The sequence below is a fragment of the Homo sapiens genome, chromosome 10 (genome assembly GCF_000001405.40).
Source record: "Homo sapiens chromosome 10, GRCh38.p14 Primary Assembly".
In the NCBI taxonomy this organism is placed as follows: Eukaryota; Metazoa; Chordata; class Mammalia; order Primates; family Hominidae; genus Homo; species Homo sapiens.
The window spans coordinates 83,949,633-83,970,930 of NC_000010.11; the positions used below are offsets into that span (position 1 = coordinate 83,949,633).

At 44.5% G+C, this 21,298-nt stretch overlaps 1 long non-coding RNA gene across 1 annotated transcript, besides 1 other annotated feature; it reads right to left on the reverse strand.

Annotated features, from left to right (window-relative positions):
• Positions 1–3,672: 3,672 nt before the first annotated feature.
• On the reverse strand, positions 3,673–21,199 carry LOC105378398 (uncharacterized). The gene is made up of 3 exons (XR_946147.1): positions 21,121–21,199; positions 5,251–5,350; positions 3,673–3,723 (listed from the first exon to the last, which is right to left on the reverse strand). It is a non-coding gene; the product is annotated as an uncharacterized LOC105378398 (long non-coding RNA).
• Positions 7,444–8,402: an enhancer, noted in NCBI's record as "NANOG-H3K4me1 hESC enhancer chr10:85716832-85717790 (GRCh37/hg19 assembly coordinates)". NCBI's record gives its function as "activates a minimal SCP1, AML or CMV promoter by ChIP-STARR-seq in naive H9 embryonic stem cells {active_cell/tissue: H9 hESC(naive)}" and the evidence as "EXISTENCE:reporter gene assay evidence [ECO:0000049][PMID:30033119]".
• Positions 21,200–21,298: the final 99 nt, after the last annotated feature.

Below are 21,298 nucleotides of genomic sequence, written 5' to 3' on the forward strand. Positions count from 1 at the left end.
TAATCCCCATTGTGCCAGTGTTGGGAGGTGGGCCTAGTGAAAGGTGTCTTGAGTCATGGGGATGGATCACTCCTGAATAGACTAAGGCCCTCTCTGGGAGGGGGTTCAGAAGTTCTCACTCTGTTAAGTTCTTATGTGAGCTGGTTGTTAAAAAGAGCCTGGCAACTCCTCATTCTCTCTCTTGCTTCCTCTTTTGTCATGTAATCTCTGCATACGCTGACTCCCCTTCACCTTCTGCCTGTGAGTGGAAGCAGCCCAAGGCCCTCATCAGATGCCGGCACCATGCTTCTTGCACAGCCTGCAAAACTGTGAGCCAAATAAACCTCTTTTTTTAATAAATTACCCAGCCTCAGCTATTCCTTTATAGCAACATGGACTAAGACAGCTAATGAAAAACAAACAGGGAATGCACAGACTTAAAAAAAGAAAGAACAAAGTAAATCAGCTATGTGTATTAATAAGGTTGGTATGGGTGAGCTTAAAATTAACAGTCAAAGCTCCATGGAGAAAAAACTCCTTATCTCTTATTTTCACAAAGCAACAAACACACTAGGCAGTAGGCACAGGAAGACATTTTCCTTACATCTGAAGGAAGTTTCTCAGAGGCCACAGCACTCAGTGAAGTCTGTGGCTGGAAACAGGTTTGTGCCTTTAATGGTGGCAGGGGACAGGGCGAATGGTGTCATCTCTATTCAAAGCCACAGATGTGAAATTGTGTACTATAATAAACAATTTTTCAATAGGAGTAGAAACTCCCCAGAGCTGTGCTGAATGACGTTCATAATAGTACAAACCTCAGTTAATGGTTACTGAGAACTCACTGCATGCCAGGCATGGGTCAGTGTACAAATCAAAACTAAACTGGCACATGTTATCACTTACCATGGACACATTATCATCCTCATGTTAAACATGAGAAAAATGAGATATAGAAATGATGGGCTACTTCCCCAAAGTCACAGAGCTGATAAACTGTGGAGTGAAAATGCAATCCCAGAAATTCCAACTTCAAAGCCCAAGTTCTTAATGATGATGCTGAATCTAAGCATAACTAAACATAATTTCTGGGGCTTCAGAGATTCAAATGTCCTTTAGTAGCAGAATTCTAAAGATCAAAATTGCTGCTGCCATTTCAACATAGCCTAGTGGGTATAGAAGGAAATAGAAAATCCTAGTTTAAGATTTAGGATTAGCCACATGGCTGGCTCCTTTCCTTTAAGATAAAAAACTGGAGCTCCTTAATCGGTCACTCCTGAATTTTGGAAATATCAGCTAACCTCCCATAGTTTATTCTCTAATGCTCTACCCTCTAATCTCAATCAGGGAATTAGGTCCTGAAACTGAAAGACAAAATTCAGGATTCAGAATGTGCCAATGACCTTCAGGTAATGAAAAAGGCAAAACGATAAGAAAGTAATTTTCTCCAAGAAAATTCTTCTTTAATGAAAAATATCAGCAATTATGTCTAAAGTCTTAAGAGACAGACAGAAACCAAGAATCACCTATGAGGTCTGCCCAGACAATGTACAGAGTCTAATGTTCCAACGAAGTCACTTAAGCCTTAAAGCACAGGTCAGTCCTTCTAGTAAAAGCCCAAACATATGCAAATACCCTCTCTGCTTGTCATCATTTCTGGGGAAATGGTTTTCATACCTTAGATACTACCTCAAATTCTTATCTTTCAATAAGCCAATTAATTGTTAAAGTGAGGAATAGGTTGAAGGACAGGAAAAAAGAAAATAGAAGATTCCAGAACACACTGAAAGAAATAATTCATATATCTGTGCTAGATACTTTACTTCTCACCTCACCCTTAGCCCTTTCATGGGGAGCCAGTCCCTAGAGCAGAGAGTAAACCTCATCCAACACAGCAGCAAACCCCAGACTGAAGATGTCGATGTATTGGCTGGTCTTCGACTAATCAGATGCTCTCATTAATTTTAAATTACATCCTGGAAATCGATCCGTAATTGATAGCAGGTACTGAGGATAACATGGTACGTAGACTCAGGCCTTAGGCAGCCTTATTGGATATAGAGCAAGGGGAGTAAACAGAGGACACTGGTCAAGAGAAGGGTGACCCAGATCTGAGAGATGCAGATGTGAGGATGACATGCACCCCAGGGAGATGGGCAAAGGAACCTCGAGGTCCAACCTTCCAGGCTGCTCCCCACAGCTCTGCAGCAACCCCGCCCTAATCATGTGATCTGAATTGAGTGATGTCTATCCCTTTCAGTGAAAGGAGCTTGACTCTAATCATACTAACATTATTAACAATTATTAGCATTTGCTGGGCTCTTGTTTTGTATCTGACACTACACTAAAACGTTTAAGCTGATGTCCCATGATTCCTCACATTATTCCTATAAGAGCAATACTATTGCTATTCCCATTTTACAGCTGAGGAAACTGAGGCTCTGACAGGTTAAAGGATTTGATTATAACTCCCAGTTGAGGCAGGAATTATTATAAACACAGTTGGATTGACTCAGAGTCCACAGTTTTAGCTGCCATACTAGACTGCTCCTAGACCCCTAAGCTGAGCAATCCCATGGATCTAGGAACTATGGAAGAGCAGTCCACACTTCTAAAAGTCTTTGCTTGTTCTTTATTTACAGTGACATTGTAATGAAGTCAAAAGAGTGTAAGTTTCGGTATGGGTAGAGTTGGGTTTAAACCCTGGATCTGTAGTTTACTTAGTCAATCCTCAACCCTCACTTTCTTCATCTATAAAATAAATGATCACACTCAGACACACACACACACACACACACACACAAATGTCCAGTCCTTAGAATTGCAAACAGATTAGATGGTCAATGTGCCTAGCACAAAGCAGAGTACGTAGTAAAATAAATATCACTTCCCTTCCCTTAATTGCAGGGTAATTTAGAAGATTAGAGAGCTACATGTTCAAAGTACAGTGCATGGTGCAACAGTGTGTGAGGGGTGTAAATTATGTTTCTCTCTACCCTTCACCCTGCAGCTTCAGGGTGAAAACCTTGGCCATCAGCTTGTAATACAGGCCAGAATTACTTCTAGGCAGCATTTACATGAGAAGCACTGCTCTCAAGTCAAGGATATTTTTTTCTTCTAAAATGTGTGCAATTCTCAGAGAACTAAGAGAATAGTCTGTAAGAAGAAACACGAGCCTGCTTTTTCTTAGAGTTGTCACTGGTGAATAGTGTTACTGTAGGTTAATGAATTTTTCCAAAAGAATGAACTGTCTTGGGGGTAAAGAAGAGTGAGAAGAGGGAAGAGGGTGATTACCTGTGTGACTGTAGCACAGGCTTCATTAACTAACATTTCTCACTGCAGACAATTGCAAGTAAATCTCAGCTAGACAGAGATTCATGTCCATCAGAGATGGATTCTAACCATACATCCGAAGAGCAAGTGTCTCTCTGCTCAGCCACCATATAACAGTAAATACATAGCTGCAGGGTTTCTGTGGGTGGTCTCAGGATTTCCGCCTCTCTTAGACAAAACAAGAACAGGGAATGCTACTTAACCCTCTTTTTGCAGAAATGCCACCCACCCTATGTGGTCATCATAGTAGGTGACCACAACCACAAGGAGGGGAGGGTGAGATGCCCACCTCTCACCTCCATATAACCACCGGAAAAATCTCATTTTGTCCAGGGAGAAGTTGAGTTTCTGTAATCAGGTCCTTTTCGTGCTTGCCGCTGAAGTGTACTCATGCACCAGCAACATCGGTGCCACCTGAGAGGTTGTTAGAAACAAGGCAGAATCTCACATCAGCCCTCCTAAATCAGAATCTCTGCAGGGGATCCTAAATGCACATTCTGACTCAGGTGGTCTGGGGTGGGACTTGTGATTTTGCATGTCAAACAAGCTCCTGAATAATGTCAATGTTGTTGGATTAGCTCTGCAGAGAAGTGACAGTTTGGGATGAAGCCGATGCCTTAGGACAGAGCTAATCCTAGCCAGGTTATTCAGAATGGGTGGGGGGTTTGCCGATCAATTACAATTTTGAGCCTGGCTCTGTCCTAAGGCGTCTGCTTCATCCCAAACTGTCACTCTTCTCCTACTACTGGTGCAGGGCCAGCTAACAATCCACCCAAAATATGTGCACCTCCTTCAACAGTATGCAGTATTTTCTGGGAGGGAGTTCCCAGTCATTGCTGAAGCTTCCCACCCCTTCTCCAAGAAGCCATGTGACCAGCTGTGGCTATGGGATCTGATGGTAGAGCAACAACAGGAAAGAGCTTGGGTCCCTGAGTCAACACATGGAAGAAAACACTCTCTGACCTTCAGTCATGTATTGGATTGTTACATGTGCAAGAAGCAGATTTTTCTTGTTTTATGCAACTGAGACTGGGATTTCTTTGTTCCAACAGCTAGTGTGCACTCATACTAACACCACCATTACTCTCTCCCACAAATTATAATAGCTACATTTTATTGAGTTGTGGCTACTCCCTGCTAGACACTGTGCAAGATGTTTTATATATATTGTCTCTAATCCCCTACAGCTATTAGGACTCTCATTTTGCAGAGGTAGAAACAATAGCTCCAGAGAGATTAAATAACTTGGTCAGGATCCCACCTCTAATGAAAACAGAGCTGGAATTCAAACCAGGTGTGTTCTATTGTGAATGAGAGCAAAGCTGGGACTCAGTTCCGTGGAGATTTGTTGGCAGAATGAAATGAGATTTCATCTCCGGCTAGTTATTACCACATCAGACTGCTGTCTTCATGGACTTTCCCAAATGGCCTTTCTCAGCCTGCCTCTGTCCTTGGTACTCTCCCTTGCAAGGTAATTACTAATAAAAATCCTGATGATATGCAGAAATTCTCCACCCATCTAGCCCCAGGCCCCTCCTGGAGCTGCCTTGTCTCCAGTGTCTCTCTGTATTTTGCAGCACAAAATGGTTGCTGTCAAGATGGTTTAATGTTCTTTGTAGGTCAAGGCTATTGGTTGCTTCAGCAATGCCCTTATTGCTGAGCTAGCCTCCTTCACCAGCTGTTTCCGTTTTTGTGGGGTTTTTTTCCTTCCTGCTTCTCTTCCTCGTTGCACAGACACCTACATGCAGAGCCATAAGAGCAGCTGCACTAAAGCCTTCCCAGCCAGGGGAAGCACTAACACTTGGGGAGTGGGGATGGCAGAATCAGCTGCTGTATGCCCTAATCACAGCCCTGGTCCGCAGACCCTCAGGTCTGAGCCCCTACCATGGACTGCCAGCCTTCCCAGCATGGCTCATGTGCCCACTTTCCCTCAGTCTTCACCTCACAGCCTCTGTTGCTTCCTGCATGTGAATTCAACCAGTAAGATGGTCACTCTCATTTCATGGCTCCTCTGGTATCCTCAGCCATGCTGTTGAAGTTACTGCAGGAGAGAGGGCAGTGATGAGTGAGTTCCAGGATTTGGATTAGGTTCAGGAACAGAATGTGCATTCTACCTAAGATAGCCAGGGGCCAAAATGACGAGAATAAAGAGGATCCAAAGTTCTTCACCTATGAACATCCCCCATACCTTGCACATAGTAGGTACTCATCAAGTACTCATAGTAGTACTATGTAGTAGTACTCATAGTAGTACTATGTAGTAGTACTCATAGTAGTGGTAGTTTATGCTCATTATACTCATTAAGTACTAGTTGCATAAACAATTGAATTAATTAGCAAATAAATAAGTAAATGTTAGATGTATATGCAAAAATGTCCTAAAGTAGAACTGAAGATTTAATGTATCAAAGGGATCAGGGATTATGGAACACTTTATGAAGGATGAGTCATCTAAGCTGGGGTTTGGAAGGATGAATAGAAGCTCCCTATGGAGATAGGAGGTAGAAGAACTCACTTCTCAGATATTTCCATCTGTGCTTTGTACCTACAGACGAAAGCTGAGCTTCATGATAACTTTACCTTGAGTGCACTCACCAATAATGAGTGTCTTGTTCTTTCCCTGATGTGTTTATCGTCTCTAATTAGATCCTCATGGGCCTCTGATTACTCTGCCAAAGCAGCTGATGAAAAGAAAGTCTGGAAAGCAGGCTCATTGACAAAGCATTGCTAACTGATTTGAAAGGAGCCCCCAGACAATGCTTCCTATGCTGACAGCAAACACTGAGAGCTGGTGTGGCCTGCACTGAGCATGCACATGATAAGGGATATCTTATTTAGTGCTCACAACAGCCCTAGGAGGAAGACTGAGGCACAGAGGGTTAAATGATTTATCCTGGTTGGCAGGACTTGGAAGAGCTGTAGAGCCAGAATTCAAACCCAGTTTGTTGATATACCAGGATGCCTGGACACCTCTGTGTGAGGGCAAGCATGATCCTTCTATCTCTGACCACCATAGGCTAAGGCTCCGGAAGGAATCATTTTCTCCAGTTCACAGGTTATGCAGTACACAGTGGCACTTGCTGAGGTAGCCAGTGAGATGGAAATCTGGCCCATCCCTCCGGTTCATGCTGTGCTTTGGGCCTGGAAGAGATGCCGCTTGCCTTGGCTCCCTGACCCACATGTGCTGGGGATGTGCCTAGAATTGGCACCTTTTTTCTAATTTCATGTGCCCAAGGGTAACACTTTTTCCAAATTTGCTCAAAGGCACTGTATAGTATAGACTGCAAGCTTTTCAGCTCCTCAGTGATATAACAAAGTAGATTATTTGGGGGACTTTGAGGTCAACAAGGCTGAGACTCAAATCCCTGCTACTTAACATGCAGATTTAACATGCTGCATGACCTGAAGCAAATTATTTAACTTATCTGTATCTCAAAAGTCTTAATTTATAAGTTTAGGATAATATTACTTGTCTCAGCAGGAAATTCGAGTTAAAAATGAAGTTGCAATGGCTTTGGTGCTTAACAAATATTAATTCCCAGCAAACAAATCTGGGAGCCAGAAAAGGCCTGGGAAAAAAACTAAAGTATTTCCCAGGGCAGAATGAGTTGCTCAGTGGAGACATTACCCTCCTACATTTGGGAGTGTTGTCCAGATTTTACCTCCTTCTCACATAGGAGTGGACATGTAGTCTTTCTGTCCCAGGCACCATCAACCTTTCTCCCCAGCCTTCTAGCAGCGTGGAGTCGGGGACTGGGGGGCAGAGAATCCTCTTCCTGCAATAACTGAAAGCCTGCTCATGTTCAAAGACTAAAGAAGTACCAGAAAGAATTCTAGAAGGGAGCTCAAGCACATGGCTGTGGACCAGTAGTAGACAGACTTTTACAATGAAGACATGGTAGTCTGAGTTCTTGTACCAATTCTGACATAGACCCCCCTGTGTCACAGAGGTAGTTATTTTATTTATCAGAGTCTAAGTAAGTGCTGGACAAGTTGAGGATAATAACATCTCCAATAAGATTATTGCCTAATGACACTATATTTAATTATCATAAATGGTGCCAAGCATATATAAAAATGCAATAATAGTTTTTGAAGATGTTATTAACATATCCCTTATTTACCTTGGAGTCTGGTTTGTAAGAATCAAATGTGACTATTTACATGCAAATGTTTAGCAAATTGCAAACACTCGGCAAATATTACTCCTTGTGCCTCAGTTTCCTCATCTATAAAGGAGGGAGCCTATTGCCTGTCTTTGCCCCTCTATCTCACAGGGTTGGTAAAGAATCAAATTAAGTGAGAGATGGAAGAGTGTGGCTGTGAGCTGATTCAGTCTACAATGCGTATTGTCTTTGGTTCTGTTAACAGGATACAAAACAGCAGGGAGCTGCTTTCAAAAAAACAAATACTCTTTCAAGAAAGACAGCTTTCTCCCAACCCTCCCTGGTTCCCTACAAGGAGTCCTGGGGCCATTTTTACTTGACTGTGGGGCCTGAAACCCCTGTCAAACAAATATACCAATGTTCCCCAGATCTCTAAAAGTAAGAAGGCCCTGCAGTCTGTCTCAGAGCCCCTGAAGCCCATGATATAGAAGAGGAATCAGGAGCCACTGCTTAGGTCCCCATCATACCCCATCCCCAACTCCCAGTGCTGTCACCAGCACCCCCACTGAGTCACAAGGGACCCCCTCAGGTGCCTGCTGGGAAAGGAGCTGGAGGGAGGGGCTCAGGAAACAAAGGTCCTGGTTTAATTAATGGCTTGTGTTTGTGCAAGAGAGGGAGCTGGGAGAAGGGAAAGGCCTGCAACCAGGCAGGGTGAAGCAGGGCTGGCAAGCACAGGCCTGCAGCCGATGTTCGCTACTGTCCAGGGGCCCCCATCTGGAAGGCAGGATCAGCTTGCCTCCCTCTGACGGATCACCAGGACTCTGAGTAGGTCAAGCCCTCTTGGACATGTGTCTCCATGTGGTGCAGTAGAAGTGGCATTTCAGGGTAGAAATGTCAGAGAGAAAGGTCTTGAAACAAAGATGCTGACCTCTCCCGCAGTTTTTTAAGCCTCTGAGCCCTGAAGCACCAAAGGCCACCCCAGAGGCCCTCCTGTCGAGCCGAGGTGCTCACAGGTGCATGACACCGCAGCTGTAAATGCTCCAAACCCCCCCACACCCCAGGAGACCTCCACCCAGCCAGCTCCCCTGCCCATTTCCATGTGCCCAGCTCTCGGGAGCCCAGGCCATGGCTGATTAGTCTCAACTTGAATGTAGAAATAAAGACATGTCTGGAGCACAGAAGAACTTGACCCAAACTGGGAAGCCCAAAGGCCTTCTGCCAAGGCAGCCTCCTGAGCTACTGGGAAAGAATGAGTAGGGGTGAGCGAAGGGCAGGGCTGGGCGGGGCATTCCTGACAAAGACAGTGTCCTCAGAAAATTCATGGAGGCACAAGCTAGTAAAGTGAGCAGACAGGTTCCAAGGGGTTGAGGTTGCTAGGAAATGAGAAGATGTCACTGGAGAGTGAGGCCAGACAGGGCAGTGGGCTGGGCACCATTGAGGATGTGTGTCTGGGAGGCTGGGGGTTTTGGAGGCTGGGCACGGGCCTGAGGGCAGGAAGGAACTGCTGCAGAACCTGGCACAGGTGACGATGGGTGCAAAGGTGCATTCAGAACAGAACACTCATGCTCAGAGCCACATGGAGACTGTATTGGAAGGATCAAGACTGGCAGAGAAATAGACAATCCCATAGGAGGCAGAGATTGTCCAGGTAGAATTTTCCATAAAACTTAAGTCCTGCTCAGATAAGGAGTTTGATATCTGAAGGAGATGTATGGTGGTGAGGGGTTGCAGGCAGGCTATTGGCTCATAGAATGGTAGGTGGCACTGCCAGTCAAAACAGGGAACACCAGCATCTATGGAGAGTAACAGGTGGGGAGGCAAGTTGAATGTGAGAAGCCTGGAAGATCTGCATTTGGAGATGAACAGTTGACCACTGGCTTATCAATCTGTGGCTCCTTCTTGCCAACATTCTGCAGGGACCACGTCTGCTGGTTCACAGTGCACACAGTAGGTGCACAAGAATGCGCAATGAGTGCATGCTTTGAGGCATAGGGCAAATCACTCAAGAGATACAAGGATGGAAAGAAGAAGTATATTAATACTCATCGACACAAAGATATATTGATGACATACAGACTGTGCCCTATTTAATTTGTACAATAATCTAGGAAGTAGTATTCTTGTTACCATGTTGCTGCAGAGGAAGTTAAAGACACAAAGGAGAAAATCAGTTATCCTTTCCCACAGCTTCTTAGAGGCACTACTACACTTCAAGCCTTTTCTAGCTTGAGAAGCCATGGTTGGGAGCTCCAGCTGTAGAGTCAAATGGTCCCAGATCAAACCCTGGGCATCGCCCACCAGCTGTGTGGCTTTAGAGATGTTACTTAATAGCTCTGAGGCAGCTTCTTCAACTACAAAATGGGATTATATAGAGTGCATATCTCCTGGAATGGTTTGAAGATTTGCATGAGATGTTGCAAGTAAGCATATAGCACAGCTACTGGCAGACAGGAAGCACTCAGTAAATGTCAACTCATCCTGCTCCAGAGCCTCGCCCCCTCCCTCTGCATTGCACTGTCAGAAGCAGTGGCAGAAGCAGTAGAAGACCAGCCAGTGGTTGCTGTTTGCTGTCCTTTTAAGAAAAAGGTCACTTCATTCACTGTCAGGTAATGAGCCCTAGAGGTAGAGGCTGCCCAATGGTAGTGTCTTTTTTCTTGAGAAGTATATCAAACGCATTGATAAGAAAAAGCCAGGACCGTCTCAGAAGTGTTGCTTGTGCCTGAATTCATTCTTCAATCTTTGGGAATGTACTAACTCTTGTATCACACGTATTCTGGAACAGAAATCAAGAGCTTGTTTTCAATATATCCTCTGTCTCATCCTCTCTCTCTCTTTCACACACACACACACACACACACACACACACACACACATCTCTTTTGCCTTTGAAACAATCTCACTTTGACCTCAAAAGCCAGTGTTTTGAAACCAGTGTTTTCAAAGTGTAGTTGCAGGATCAACAGAAGCAGCATATCCTGAGACTGTGTTAGAAATGTGAATTCTCAAGCCCTACACTGGACCTCTTGAATCAAGTTCTGCGAGTTGGGTCCAGCTTGTAGTTAACAAGCCCTTCAAGTGACTCTGAGGCTCACTCAAGTTTGAGACTTATCACCTTAGAGAAAGGTAAAAGAGGATCCTGGCTTGCCACTTATGGGATTGAAGGTGAGGGGAGGCCAATGGGGTCAATCCTCACCCAGCCCCCAACAGTGGCATCAAAGGTCCTACCTTAGCTAATCCATTTTCCTTCCATCTCCCATACCCTGGGCTACCTTGGAGAGCTCATGACAACGACAGACATCTGTAATTCTGAAGGTAGTTTCAAGCAAAAGGCTGGCTAGTCCTAACCTGAGCCAAGAATTATTCAACCCCAAACCTAAAGCCAGAAAAAGATCTTTAAAACCAATCTTCTGTTGTCTTTGTTTCCAAATCATCCCACCCTTCAGATGTCTACTAAAACAATTAATGCTTCCATATTTGTTTCTACTCCAAGAAACAGGTTTTAACAGCAATCTAAACTGCCAATGCCAACAGAGATTGGGCTGCCAACCTGAATAGATGAAAATACCTGGTCTGGCGAGTTGTTGGGAGTGGTGAGGCCTGTGGGAAAAAGAGGACATGACAATTTACAAGAAGCAACTGAGCATCATCCCAGCTGTGGCCTTGTAGGGTATGAGTCTAACAGGGCCAGATTTCATATTTGAGGCAAAGACAGAAATCAAATGTTTGCATCGCCCTCCAATGCAAATGTTAGCTCAATTGTTTTTCAAACATTGTGCTGGTCACACAGCAGCAGACTTGGCTACAGGCTGTTTGTGACCTCTGCTTTGCAGAAATACAGAACTCTTCTTTTTAAAAGAGCAGTTCAGGGATTTTTTTTTTTACTATAATTAACTTAGGATCTTGTTTTGTTTCATTTTTTGAGGCAGTGTCTCACTCTGTTGTTCAGGCTGGAGTGCAGTGGTGTGATCTCGGCTCACTGCAACCTCCACCTCCCAGGTACAAGTGATTCTCCCACCTCAGCCCCCCATTAGCTGGGACCACAGGCACACATCACCATGCCCAGCTAATTATTTTGTATTTTTAGTAGAGATGGGGTTTCACCATGTTGCCCAGGTTTGTCTCGAACCCCTGAACTCAAGCAATCTGTCCATCTCAGCCTCCCAAAATGCCGGGATTACAGGCATGAGCCACCGCACCAGGCCAGTTTTTTTATTTATGTATTTATTTTGTGACAGAGTCTTACTCTGTCACCCAGGCTGGAATGCAGTGGCACAATCACAGCCCACTGCAGCCTTGATATCATGGGCTGAAACAATCCTCCTGCTTCAGCCTGCCAAGTAGCTGGGACTATAGGCGCATGCAAGCACACCCAGGTAATTCTTTGATTTTTTCGCAGAGATGAGGTCTTACTATATTGGCCAAGCTGGTCTCAAACTCCTGGGCTAAAACGGTCCTCCCACCTTGATCTCCCAAAGTGCTGGGATTACAGGCGTGAGCCACCGCACCCAGCCTACTTTGTTACTATTTGCCTTGTAATTATGGACTGCACCTTTTATTAAATGAGGTTTCAAATCTCTAAGACCAACAAATGCTCTAGACAGCACAAGTGAACCAGCACTAACCACTTACCTTTCCCTTCCTAAAAACCTAATACAGCTTCAAATTAGAAGGGAAACACTAATAGAAGGGAAGATGAGACAATGACTACTGTTTTTACATTCATCCCTGGATTAGAGTGTCTCCTCCAAGGACCCTCTTTGAGTAAACAGTGACATCCACTGGTTAAAAATCAGATCCTGCAACATGTTCACTCAAGAAAAGAAACAGGTTAGCAAGATATCTTTGATCTAGGCTGGGGATTCTCAGTTACCAACAGACAGCAAAGAGAAATTAATCCAGAGTCAAGACAAAGCAGATCTTGAGAGAACAGAGATGTTAATAAGAACAAGGAGGAAATGTGATCCCCAGTACACGCCAGGCTGCTTTGGGAATTACAGGAGTCTCCTCACTATGCTCGAATCAGCTGCCAGACACCAGAGCCAGAAGGGACCTGTGGTTCTGCACCATCTAGTATGGGACCCTGACCCCTCATGATTACTGAGTTCTTAGGTTATGGCCAGTCTGAATGGCAATGTGCTATAAGCATGAGCTACACACTGATTTTGAAGGATTATTAATGAAAAAAATACAAACTATCTCATTGATAACTTTTATATTTATGACACGCTGAAATAATATTTTGGATTATGTTGGGTTAAATAAAATATACTATAAAATTAATTTTACCAAGTTGAATTTTTTTTTACTTTTTTATTATAAGTACTAGCACCGTTATATCTCATCTAGCCTCATTGTTCTCAGCCCTGCTGAGGATCAGAATCTCCTGAGCTTGTAAAATATACATATGTGGGGGCCCCACCCTCACAGGTACTGATTCAAGTGGTGGAGGGATGTAATTGACAGAAAAACCATGAACTGTATTCTTCTTCGGTTTCCTTTCTCTACATCTAAGCTCTCCTTGATCCCCCTGAATGTTATTGATCTGTAGTTCTCCTTAAGCACCACTTTCATCTTGCACTTCCCCATTCACAAATATATAATGCCTTCATTCACTTAACAGTCGTTAGGCACCTACCATGCACTTCAGGCCCTGGAGATGCAGGATGAAGAAGACAGATAATATTCCTCTGTCTTGGAGCTTACATTTGGGGTGGAGTGGAAGAGATCAATCAAATCAGTCAATCAAGAAAAATATTAGCAGAGAACTAGAAAAGAGAGATATGAGAAGGAGAGACTGCATGGCCACTTTAGGCTAGGTGGCTTTGGATGGCTGCTCTGGGGCAGTTCAACTGAGGTCTGAGCAATGCCAGCTGTGAGGTCAAGAGAAGGAGCATTGCAGGCAGGGTAAACCCAATACAGAGGCTGACAGTGGTAAGTTGGCTGGTGCATTTGAACAGCCAAAAGAAGGCCATGGTGGCTATAGCAAGGCAAGTTTAACCAGGATTGGAGGGGTGAGAGAGCAGAATGGGGGCTGGGGCTTTACTAAGGAAGTAATTATTAAGGAGGTGTTATGGTCTGAATGTTTGTGTTCCCCACAAGGTTCCTATGTTGAAAGCTTCACCTCCTTAGAAGGTAAGAGCTTTGGGAGGTAGTTAGATCATGAGGATGGAGCCCTCATGAATGGGATTGGTGCGCTTATAAAAGGGACCCCAGAGAGCTCTCTCACCCTCTTTCTGCCATGTGAGGATACAATGAGAAGTCAGCAGTCTGCAACCCAGAAAAGCGCCTTCACCAGAATTGACCATGCTGGCAGCCTGATCTTCCCAGCCTCCAGAACTGTTAGAAATAAATGTATGTTTTTTATAAGCCACCCAGTCTATGGTGTTTTTTTACAGCAGCCTGAACCACTTAAAACAGGCAGAATCAAGGATTCAAAGCCTGAACTAGAACAAGGTGAAGCAGGAGCGGGAAAAGGAACATGCCAAACAGAGGCAAGGATTCTGTACAAAGCCTCTGCGGCAGCAAGAAGGATGCCCAAAGGCCTGGAGACAGGCCCATATGCCTGGAACACAGTGGGGAATGGGGTCAAGGTCAGAGCCACAGACACAAGTCTCTGGTATGTAGGAAATCTCTGTATCTTCCTCTCAATTTTGCTGAGCCTAAAACTGTTCTAAAAAAAGTAAAGTCTTTTAAAAAATTGAGGAACTCCCCCTCACAAGAAGAAAATTAAGTTGTTAGATGAGATATATCAGGGCCCCCGTCCTTACTGTTTTCTCTGGCTGGGATAATCTACCCTTGGACTTGGGTGTGATTAATGCCTTCATATTCATCAGTTTTTGCACAATTGGCCTTTCTAGGCCACTCTATATAAGACAGCACCCCGTCACTATCTAGCCCCAGCTTTATTTCCTTCATAGCACTTCAAATTACATATATTATTGTCGTGCGTGTGTGTGTGTGTGTATGTGTGTGTGTGTTTCATAAACAAGAAATGTACCTGTTAATCAATACATGGCCAGCATCTTGTTTATAATACCTAGGACACAGTAAGTATTCAGTAGATATTTGCTGAATGAAAAAAGAAAACATCGCTTGTCTGTAATGTGGAGGGGAGTAAATGGAGTAGGACCACAGTGGAGAAAGGCAGATGGCCAGAAGACTATCACAAATGGTCCAGGTGAGAAACAATGGTTTGGAGTAAGGTGATAGAGAGGGAGAGCTCAAGATAAGGGAAGCTGGTGATATACAGTGGGTAGGGATAAGAGGAATGTATCAAGGATAATTCTCAGGATATAGGGTGGTGAGGTTCATTGAGTTGGAGAACACTGGAAGAGGACCAATTCTAAAGAGGAAAGCCTCACATTTGATTTTGAAAGAGTTGATCTTCAGATACTTTTGAGAAAGCCAAAGGAAAATATTTAGAAGGCTAGTGGATTCTGAAGTATTTACAGACAAAATAGTGTGATGATTTGGATCATCTTCAAATTATACCAACCAGGCAGAGGATGAGGAGGAGCAGGGAGATAGAAGAAACAAAATAGCACAAAGTCAAGAGTAGCTGAAACTAGATTCTAATTATTAGTGGTTCATTAACTTGTTCTATTTTGATATGTGCTTAAAATTTTCCAGAGGGGAAAAAAATGCTTTAAAGGATACAGGGGTATACATGACTGGAGCAAAGGGGGAAAAGCTCAGACTAGACATATAAATTTGGATGATACATATTTAAAGGTGGTCATTAAAGCCATGGACATGGATAAAATCTCCCAGGCAAAAAGAATAGAGTAAATATCTAGGAGGCATCGGACCTCGTCTTGTAGAAATCTATCATGTAATGACTGAGCAGAGGCAAATGCACCTGCAGAAGAGACTGGATGGAGTAGCCAAGAGAAAAAAACCTAGTCGAATGGGTGTGACTCCACAGACAGGTTCAACCGATGCCACAGAGGAGGAAGCTCTATTTTTTAGCTTATATGGTAGCCAGAGAGTATCACATTCTTTGAGCATCTGACAGGGCGCCAAGTGGAAGGGGCCTGGCTGATTCTTGTGGTCCCAAGCAGGGCAAGATGGGTTAGTGCAGAAGTCTTGGGTAGGCAGATTTCCCCTCAGTGTGCAAAGGGGGTGCTCTGAGAGGCCTTCATTTGTTTAAAAAAAATGTGCTTGGTGTAATGCACTGTATCAGGCATCAGAGAGGCATTAGAATTTCTCTCGAAAAACAGGGAGTTTGTAAATAGAGCCTGGGAATGAATCAGGATAAATAAAACAATGAGCATGAAACAGGGGGCTGATGGTGTGGGCACCTCTTCTATCTCCCTCAAGCTGCTATTCACATTCTTCCTGTGTCATCATTGTTCTTGAAAGTACTTTCTTCTCTGCTGGAGTTTAACTTATTTTCCTTTGTTTTTCCCTTTCACAACCCCTGGCACATTAGACTGGAAAATGTCCATTGACTGCAGAATGAGCAAAGCCCCCGTGCCGTATCTTGGCCAGCTCTCATGCTTGGTGGATGCTGCCCTTCCTGGACATACTTCCTCCTCTGCACAGGGCTGGGGAGACTCAGAAGCCAGACCACCCAGGTGTGAATCTTGGCTCCCTCTCTTACTAGCAGAGGGACCTAATCTAGCAAGTCATCTTATCTCTGTGTGCCTCTAGCTCCACCAGCAGTAAGCTGAGGGAATGAGGCTGGACAGAGTGGCTCTTGCCTGTAATCCCAACATTATAAGAGGCCAAGGCAGGAGGATCACTTGAGGCCAGGAGTTGGAGACCTGCCTGGGCAACATGGTGAGATGCCATCTCTACAAAAAAAAAAAAAAAAAATTTAGATTAGCTAGGTCTAGTGGTGAGCACCTGTAATTCCAGCTCAGGAGGCTGAGGCAGGAGGTTTGCTTGAGCCCAGGAGGTCAAGGCTGCAGTGAGCTGTGATCAGGCTTCAGTGAGCTATGATTACACCACTGCACTCCAGCCTGGGTAACAGAGCAAGACCCTGTATGAATGAAGATGATGGAATAACAGTCACTATTTGAGAGGTTTGTGAGGATTCAAGGAGCCACCATGGGAAAAGCAGTTAGAGCAGTGCCTGGAAAATAACAAGCTCTGAGTAAAGATTAGCTCTTATTATTCTCTACCCATCCCAAATAAATGCTCCTCTTCCTCACCCCACCTCAAGTCCAGCTCCACGTTCTATGACCTTACTCATGGGTTTTGTCTAAAACCTCAAGTGCCCTTGCCACAGTCCCCTGGCAGACATCCAGGCATCTTTCAAATCCCAGCCCCCAGCTCCAAGCTCCCAGCCCCAACCTCACAGTGTGGGTGTTTAGATCATTCTTCTCTAGACCAGAAACCCCTGAGGTCAGAGATGGGGTCTCACCTCTTCATGCAACTTATACCTGATGCAGATCAGGCACATGGGAGACATCTGGCAAAGGTTTCATAAGGACATGAATACCGAACTTGGAATCGCACGAAGCAATGTTTGAGTCCAGGCTCTGCTATGAAGTTTGCAGACAAATTCTCTGTGCTTTGGACCTCAGTTTGTAATCTGAAAAATGTTGCTTGCAATGTCTGCCTTATAATGTTGCCGTGATAATTGAAATACCGAAGAGAACATAAGGTACAATTCCTATTACGTCCGCATCCCCTTCAAGATTCAGGTGTCCTGTAAAAGCCTTCACCACGCCCTTGGCCCTCCCTCACTAACCTGTGAGCCCTTCTCTTTCTTAGCCTGTTTTCAGCTTCTTTTGTTAAGAGTCCAGCTCCTCCACCTGGCTGTGAAGGCACTGAGACCTGGAATTTTCCTTCTGTCTCTTCTAATAAATGCAGGTGCAGCTTCCTTTAATGGGCTGTCAGTGGACAGTAAGAATCTGGACTGTACAATTAAATGAAATAAATGCCTGGCCATCTCTGCTCACAGCTGTGAAGCTCAGGAAACCCTTATGTCCTGAAAAACTGAGGTTTTATTTAGCATCTGTATATTAAAATTACAGCCCACTCCTTTTGGAGATGGCATTGTTCCTGTGCTCTTAGCATTATTTTTCCCTTAAACTTGGTAGTTCACACAGATGGGTAAAACGGCAGAGGGTGAGAGAGGATGAAGGCTGCTGCTCTTTAGAAAAATAATTAACCTGCAAATTAAATAAAGACATACCTGAGACTGGGTATTTTATAAAGGAAAGAGGTTTGCAAATGTTTGCTGGTGCAGAAGGAGAATCTTTCATGCTGAACCTCAGCATCCAAGCCCCTGTAGTACCTGGGCCTCCTTCCTCTCACTGCCTTCCGCAACTCAGCCCACACAGCTCTTAGCTGAGCCCCTGAGAGGTGAGGCCCTATGGAAGCCAGGCCCCAGCCATCTGGATATCTACAGGGCTAGTGTAAGGTTGGGGGAAGCCCAAACAAAGCACCAATCCAGGGTCCTAGAACGCCACCTGGGCCCCCTGTGTTGCATGTCAATACAAATCCACCCTTGCTAGAGGACCTGAAGTTCATCTTAATCCAGGCCAGAATGCATTGTAAGTGGCCCTGTTTATTCCATAAACAAAGCCTGGTGTACAAATGAAAGTCCTGGGCTTCCTTGATTGGAGCATCTCTCAAATGTCCTATAGGAGGCTGGTTAGTTTTCTTCTGGTCATGCTAGCTCAGGAGGAACTGGTACTAGCTTTAGCTTATGGTTTTACTTTCCAGGCTAAGAAATAGAATATTTGCCACAGCGGGTGGGCTCTGCTTCCTGGAGGATGATCATTAGTATTAACTTATTTGTTTAACCAGTGTTTTCTGAGCACCAACTATGTGCTGGCTAGGAGGAGAAGTGTATTAGTCCATTCTCACACTGCTATTAAAGACATACCTGAGACTGGGTATTTTATAAAGGAAGGAGGTTTAATTGACTCACAATTCAGCACTGCTGGAGAGACCTCAGGAAACTTACAATCATGGTGGAAGGGGAAGAAAACATGTCCTTCACATGGCAGCAGCAAAGAGAAATGCTGAGCAAAGTAGGGGGAAAGTCCCTTATAGAACCATCAGAACTCATGAGAACTCACTCACTATCACAAGAACAGCATGGAGGTAACTGCCCCCATGATTCAAATACCTCCCACTGACTCCCTCCCATGATATGTGGGGATTATGAGTACTACAACTCAAAATGAGATTTGGGTAGGGACACAGCCAAACCATATCAAGAGGCAATTAATGACGTCAGAACTGTTGGGGTTTCTGTGATGAATGACTGAGACACAGGGAGACAAAACAATACATAAACAGAAGGGGGCAACTTACTGTGGTCAATGATGAGCCCTGTTAACAACCCAGGGAGCCAAAGCCAAGGGAGTTGAAGCCCACAGTGGGCTCTTTGAGACACAGAGCGGGCCTAAGTTCCTATGCCTCCCACGTGCACCGGCTGTGACACTGAGTGGGCCCCTGACCCTTTTGAGTCTGAGGTCCTTCATCCACACAGTGGAGGTGATAATCTGGTAAACATTAGCTTCCTTGTCCTTAAGGTAGCAAATCAGAGCACTGGAGAAATGGTGGGCTTTGGAAGCAGAAAGAATGGATGTGAGTTCACCAGTGTGTGTTGACTTGCTGTGGGAGGTTGGGAAAGTTACTTACCATCTCTGAGACTCATCCCCTCATCTCTTTACTGAAGATGATAATGCCTGCCTCACGGGGTGGTGAGGGACAATGAGTTGCTGCATGGGAAACCCTGGAAAGCCCTGAACAGTCACTCAGTCCCAACCCTTTGGTCCATGAGACACTCCAACTTTTCAGGGAAGAGAGCACGTCCAGATTTGCTCACAAGCATATCTTTGGTGCTTGGCCCTAAGGCACCCAACACATGGGAAGTAATAAAAATTTTTGTTGAAGGAACGAACCTCCTAATTTTACAATAGGGAAACAAAGGTATTAAAGTAACTTAACAACCTTGGGTCTTTTCAAGGGCAATTTTGCTCAAAGTCAAAAAACAAGTTGGTGACCAAATGTGGGAATCTTCCCAGTGCACCATGGAAGAGGAGACAGCAAGAGGCAGAGTGCACTCCCCAGAGACCCCAGAACAGAGGTATAAATGTTCGTTCTACCTGAGGCCTATGCTGGAAAAAAATTACACAAGCCCCTTGGAGCTGAGAACATTTTTACAGTTTGGTCGGAGAAAAGTACTTCAGGGTTTGTAACTAAACAGGAGGAGGACCTGGAACGCTGTGATTCTGTGGCTCCCTTAAGCTCTCCTGGCAAGATTCAGGGCAATCTGCTAAACTACAGCAGCTGAATTTTCACGTCCACATCATGTTTTGATAAATGCAACATGGGAGCAGAGCTGAACTTGTTTAGATGAACTGGAAGAATGATGAGGCAGAACCTCAGGATATTATGGCCTTTCTGAGCTTTATTACACATGACACTATCTCATCTTCTACATGCTTAGAAAACCGTAGAAATCATCCTTTTTATCACTGAGCCAGTGACAGTAACACTTAGGAGATGCTGTCATGCTTTGGGGTAGAAAATCTATCTCCAGGCAGTGATAGGGTATGCCGCCGTGCATCGAGAGCTAGCCAGAACCACTTGGTAAAGCAGTCTCCAGAGCCGGGCCACTAGTGGCCAGGGGCCCATTGACCAATCAATCTGTGGGTTATTCAAGGCCCTCAGTCAGCCAGTGATTCCTGATATACCACCTTCTGGATTTGATTCATTTTACATTCCACTTCCTTTTACTAAGCACGTGGTATTGGGTACATAATATAATCCCTCTGAGCCCCACTTCCTCAACTATGAGAGAAGCAAGACAAGGACCCACTACATTTACTTCTTGTGAACACTAAATTAAATAATGCATGCAAAACTTTGAGTAAAGTGCACAGTGCATAGGAGGTTTTCCAGAAATGGTTGTTGATGCTGCTGCTGTCACTTATTTTTTTTTTTTTTTTTGAGACGGAATCTTGCTGTGTCGCCCAGGCTGGAGTGCAATGGCACGATCTTGGCTCACTGCAACCTCCACCTCCTGGGTTCAAGCAATTCTCCTGCCTCAGCCCCCTGAGCAGCTGGGATTACAGGTGTGCGCCACCATGCCTGGCTCATGCCTGTAATCCTAGCACTTTGGGAGGCTGAGGTGGATTGTTGCCTTTTTCATGTACATTAGCTCATCTGCCAGTGGATCTCACAGAAATTTAACTTCAGAACACAAATTAGATGATATCTTCACGTTTATTATGTGAAGTGTTTTTAAAAAAGTGTTTGTACATGTACAGACATTTGTTTGAGAAACTGGGTTGTGAACTACCTGCTAATTTGGGTCAAGCCCTCATGGCCTTCTAGAACGGAGAAGAGCAGACAGATGGCCAAGTCATGGCCATCTCACATATCGCTGGGTCCTTCTGTGATCCAGTTACTAGTGATCTAGGTATACCATTAATTCACATTTTGCCCAAATCCCTTTTATGCAAGTGCTTGATGCTCCTCCTGTCACCTCTGTGGTAGTTTTCAATATCTAAAAGCAGGGCATCTATCCTAGGTTCCATCATGTTAGATTTAGTCCCTCACTCCAGCCTGCCCCAAATCTGTGGGTGTTTGATTCTACCATTCAAAAGATTCACTATTTCTCTTTCTACTACACCTACCTCCTTTATCTAAGTTATTGATAATGTTGATAGGAAAATAAATGTGTTGGATAGAGTAGGAAAGAGGAACAGTAGCATTTGTAGAAAGTCAACTATACCTAGCTAGATGTGATGGCCCACGCCTATAACCCCAGTTACTCGGAGGCCGAAGCAGGATAATCACTTGAACCCAGGAGGTAGAGGTTGTGGGCAGTCAAGATCGTGCCACTGCACTCCAGCCTGGGCTACAAAGAGAGACTCTGTCACAAAAAAAAAAAAAAAAAAAGAAAGAAAGAA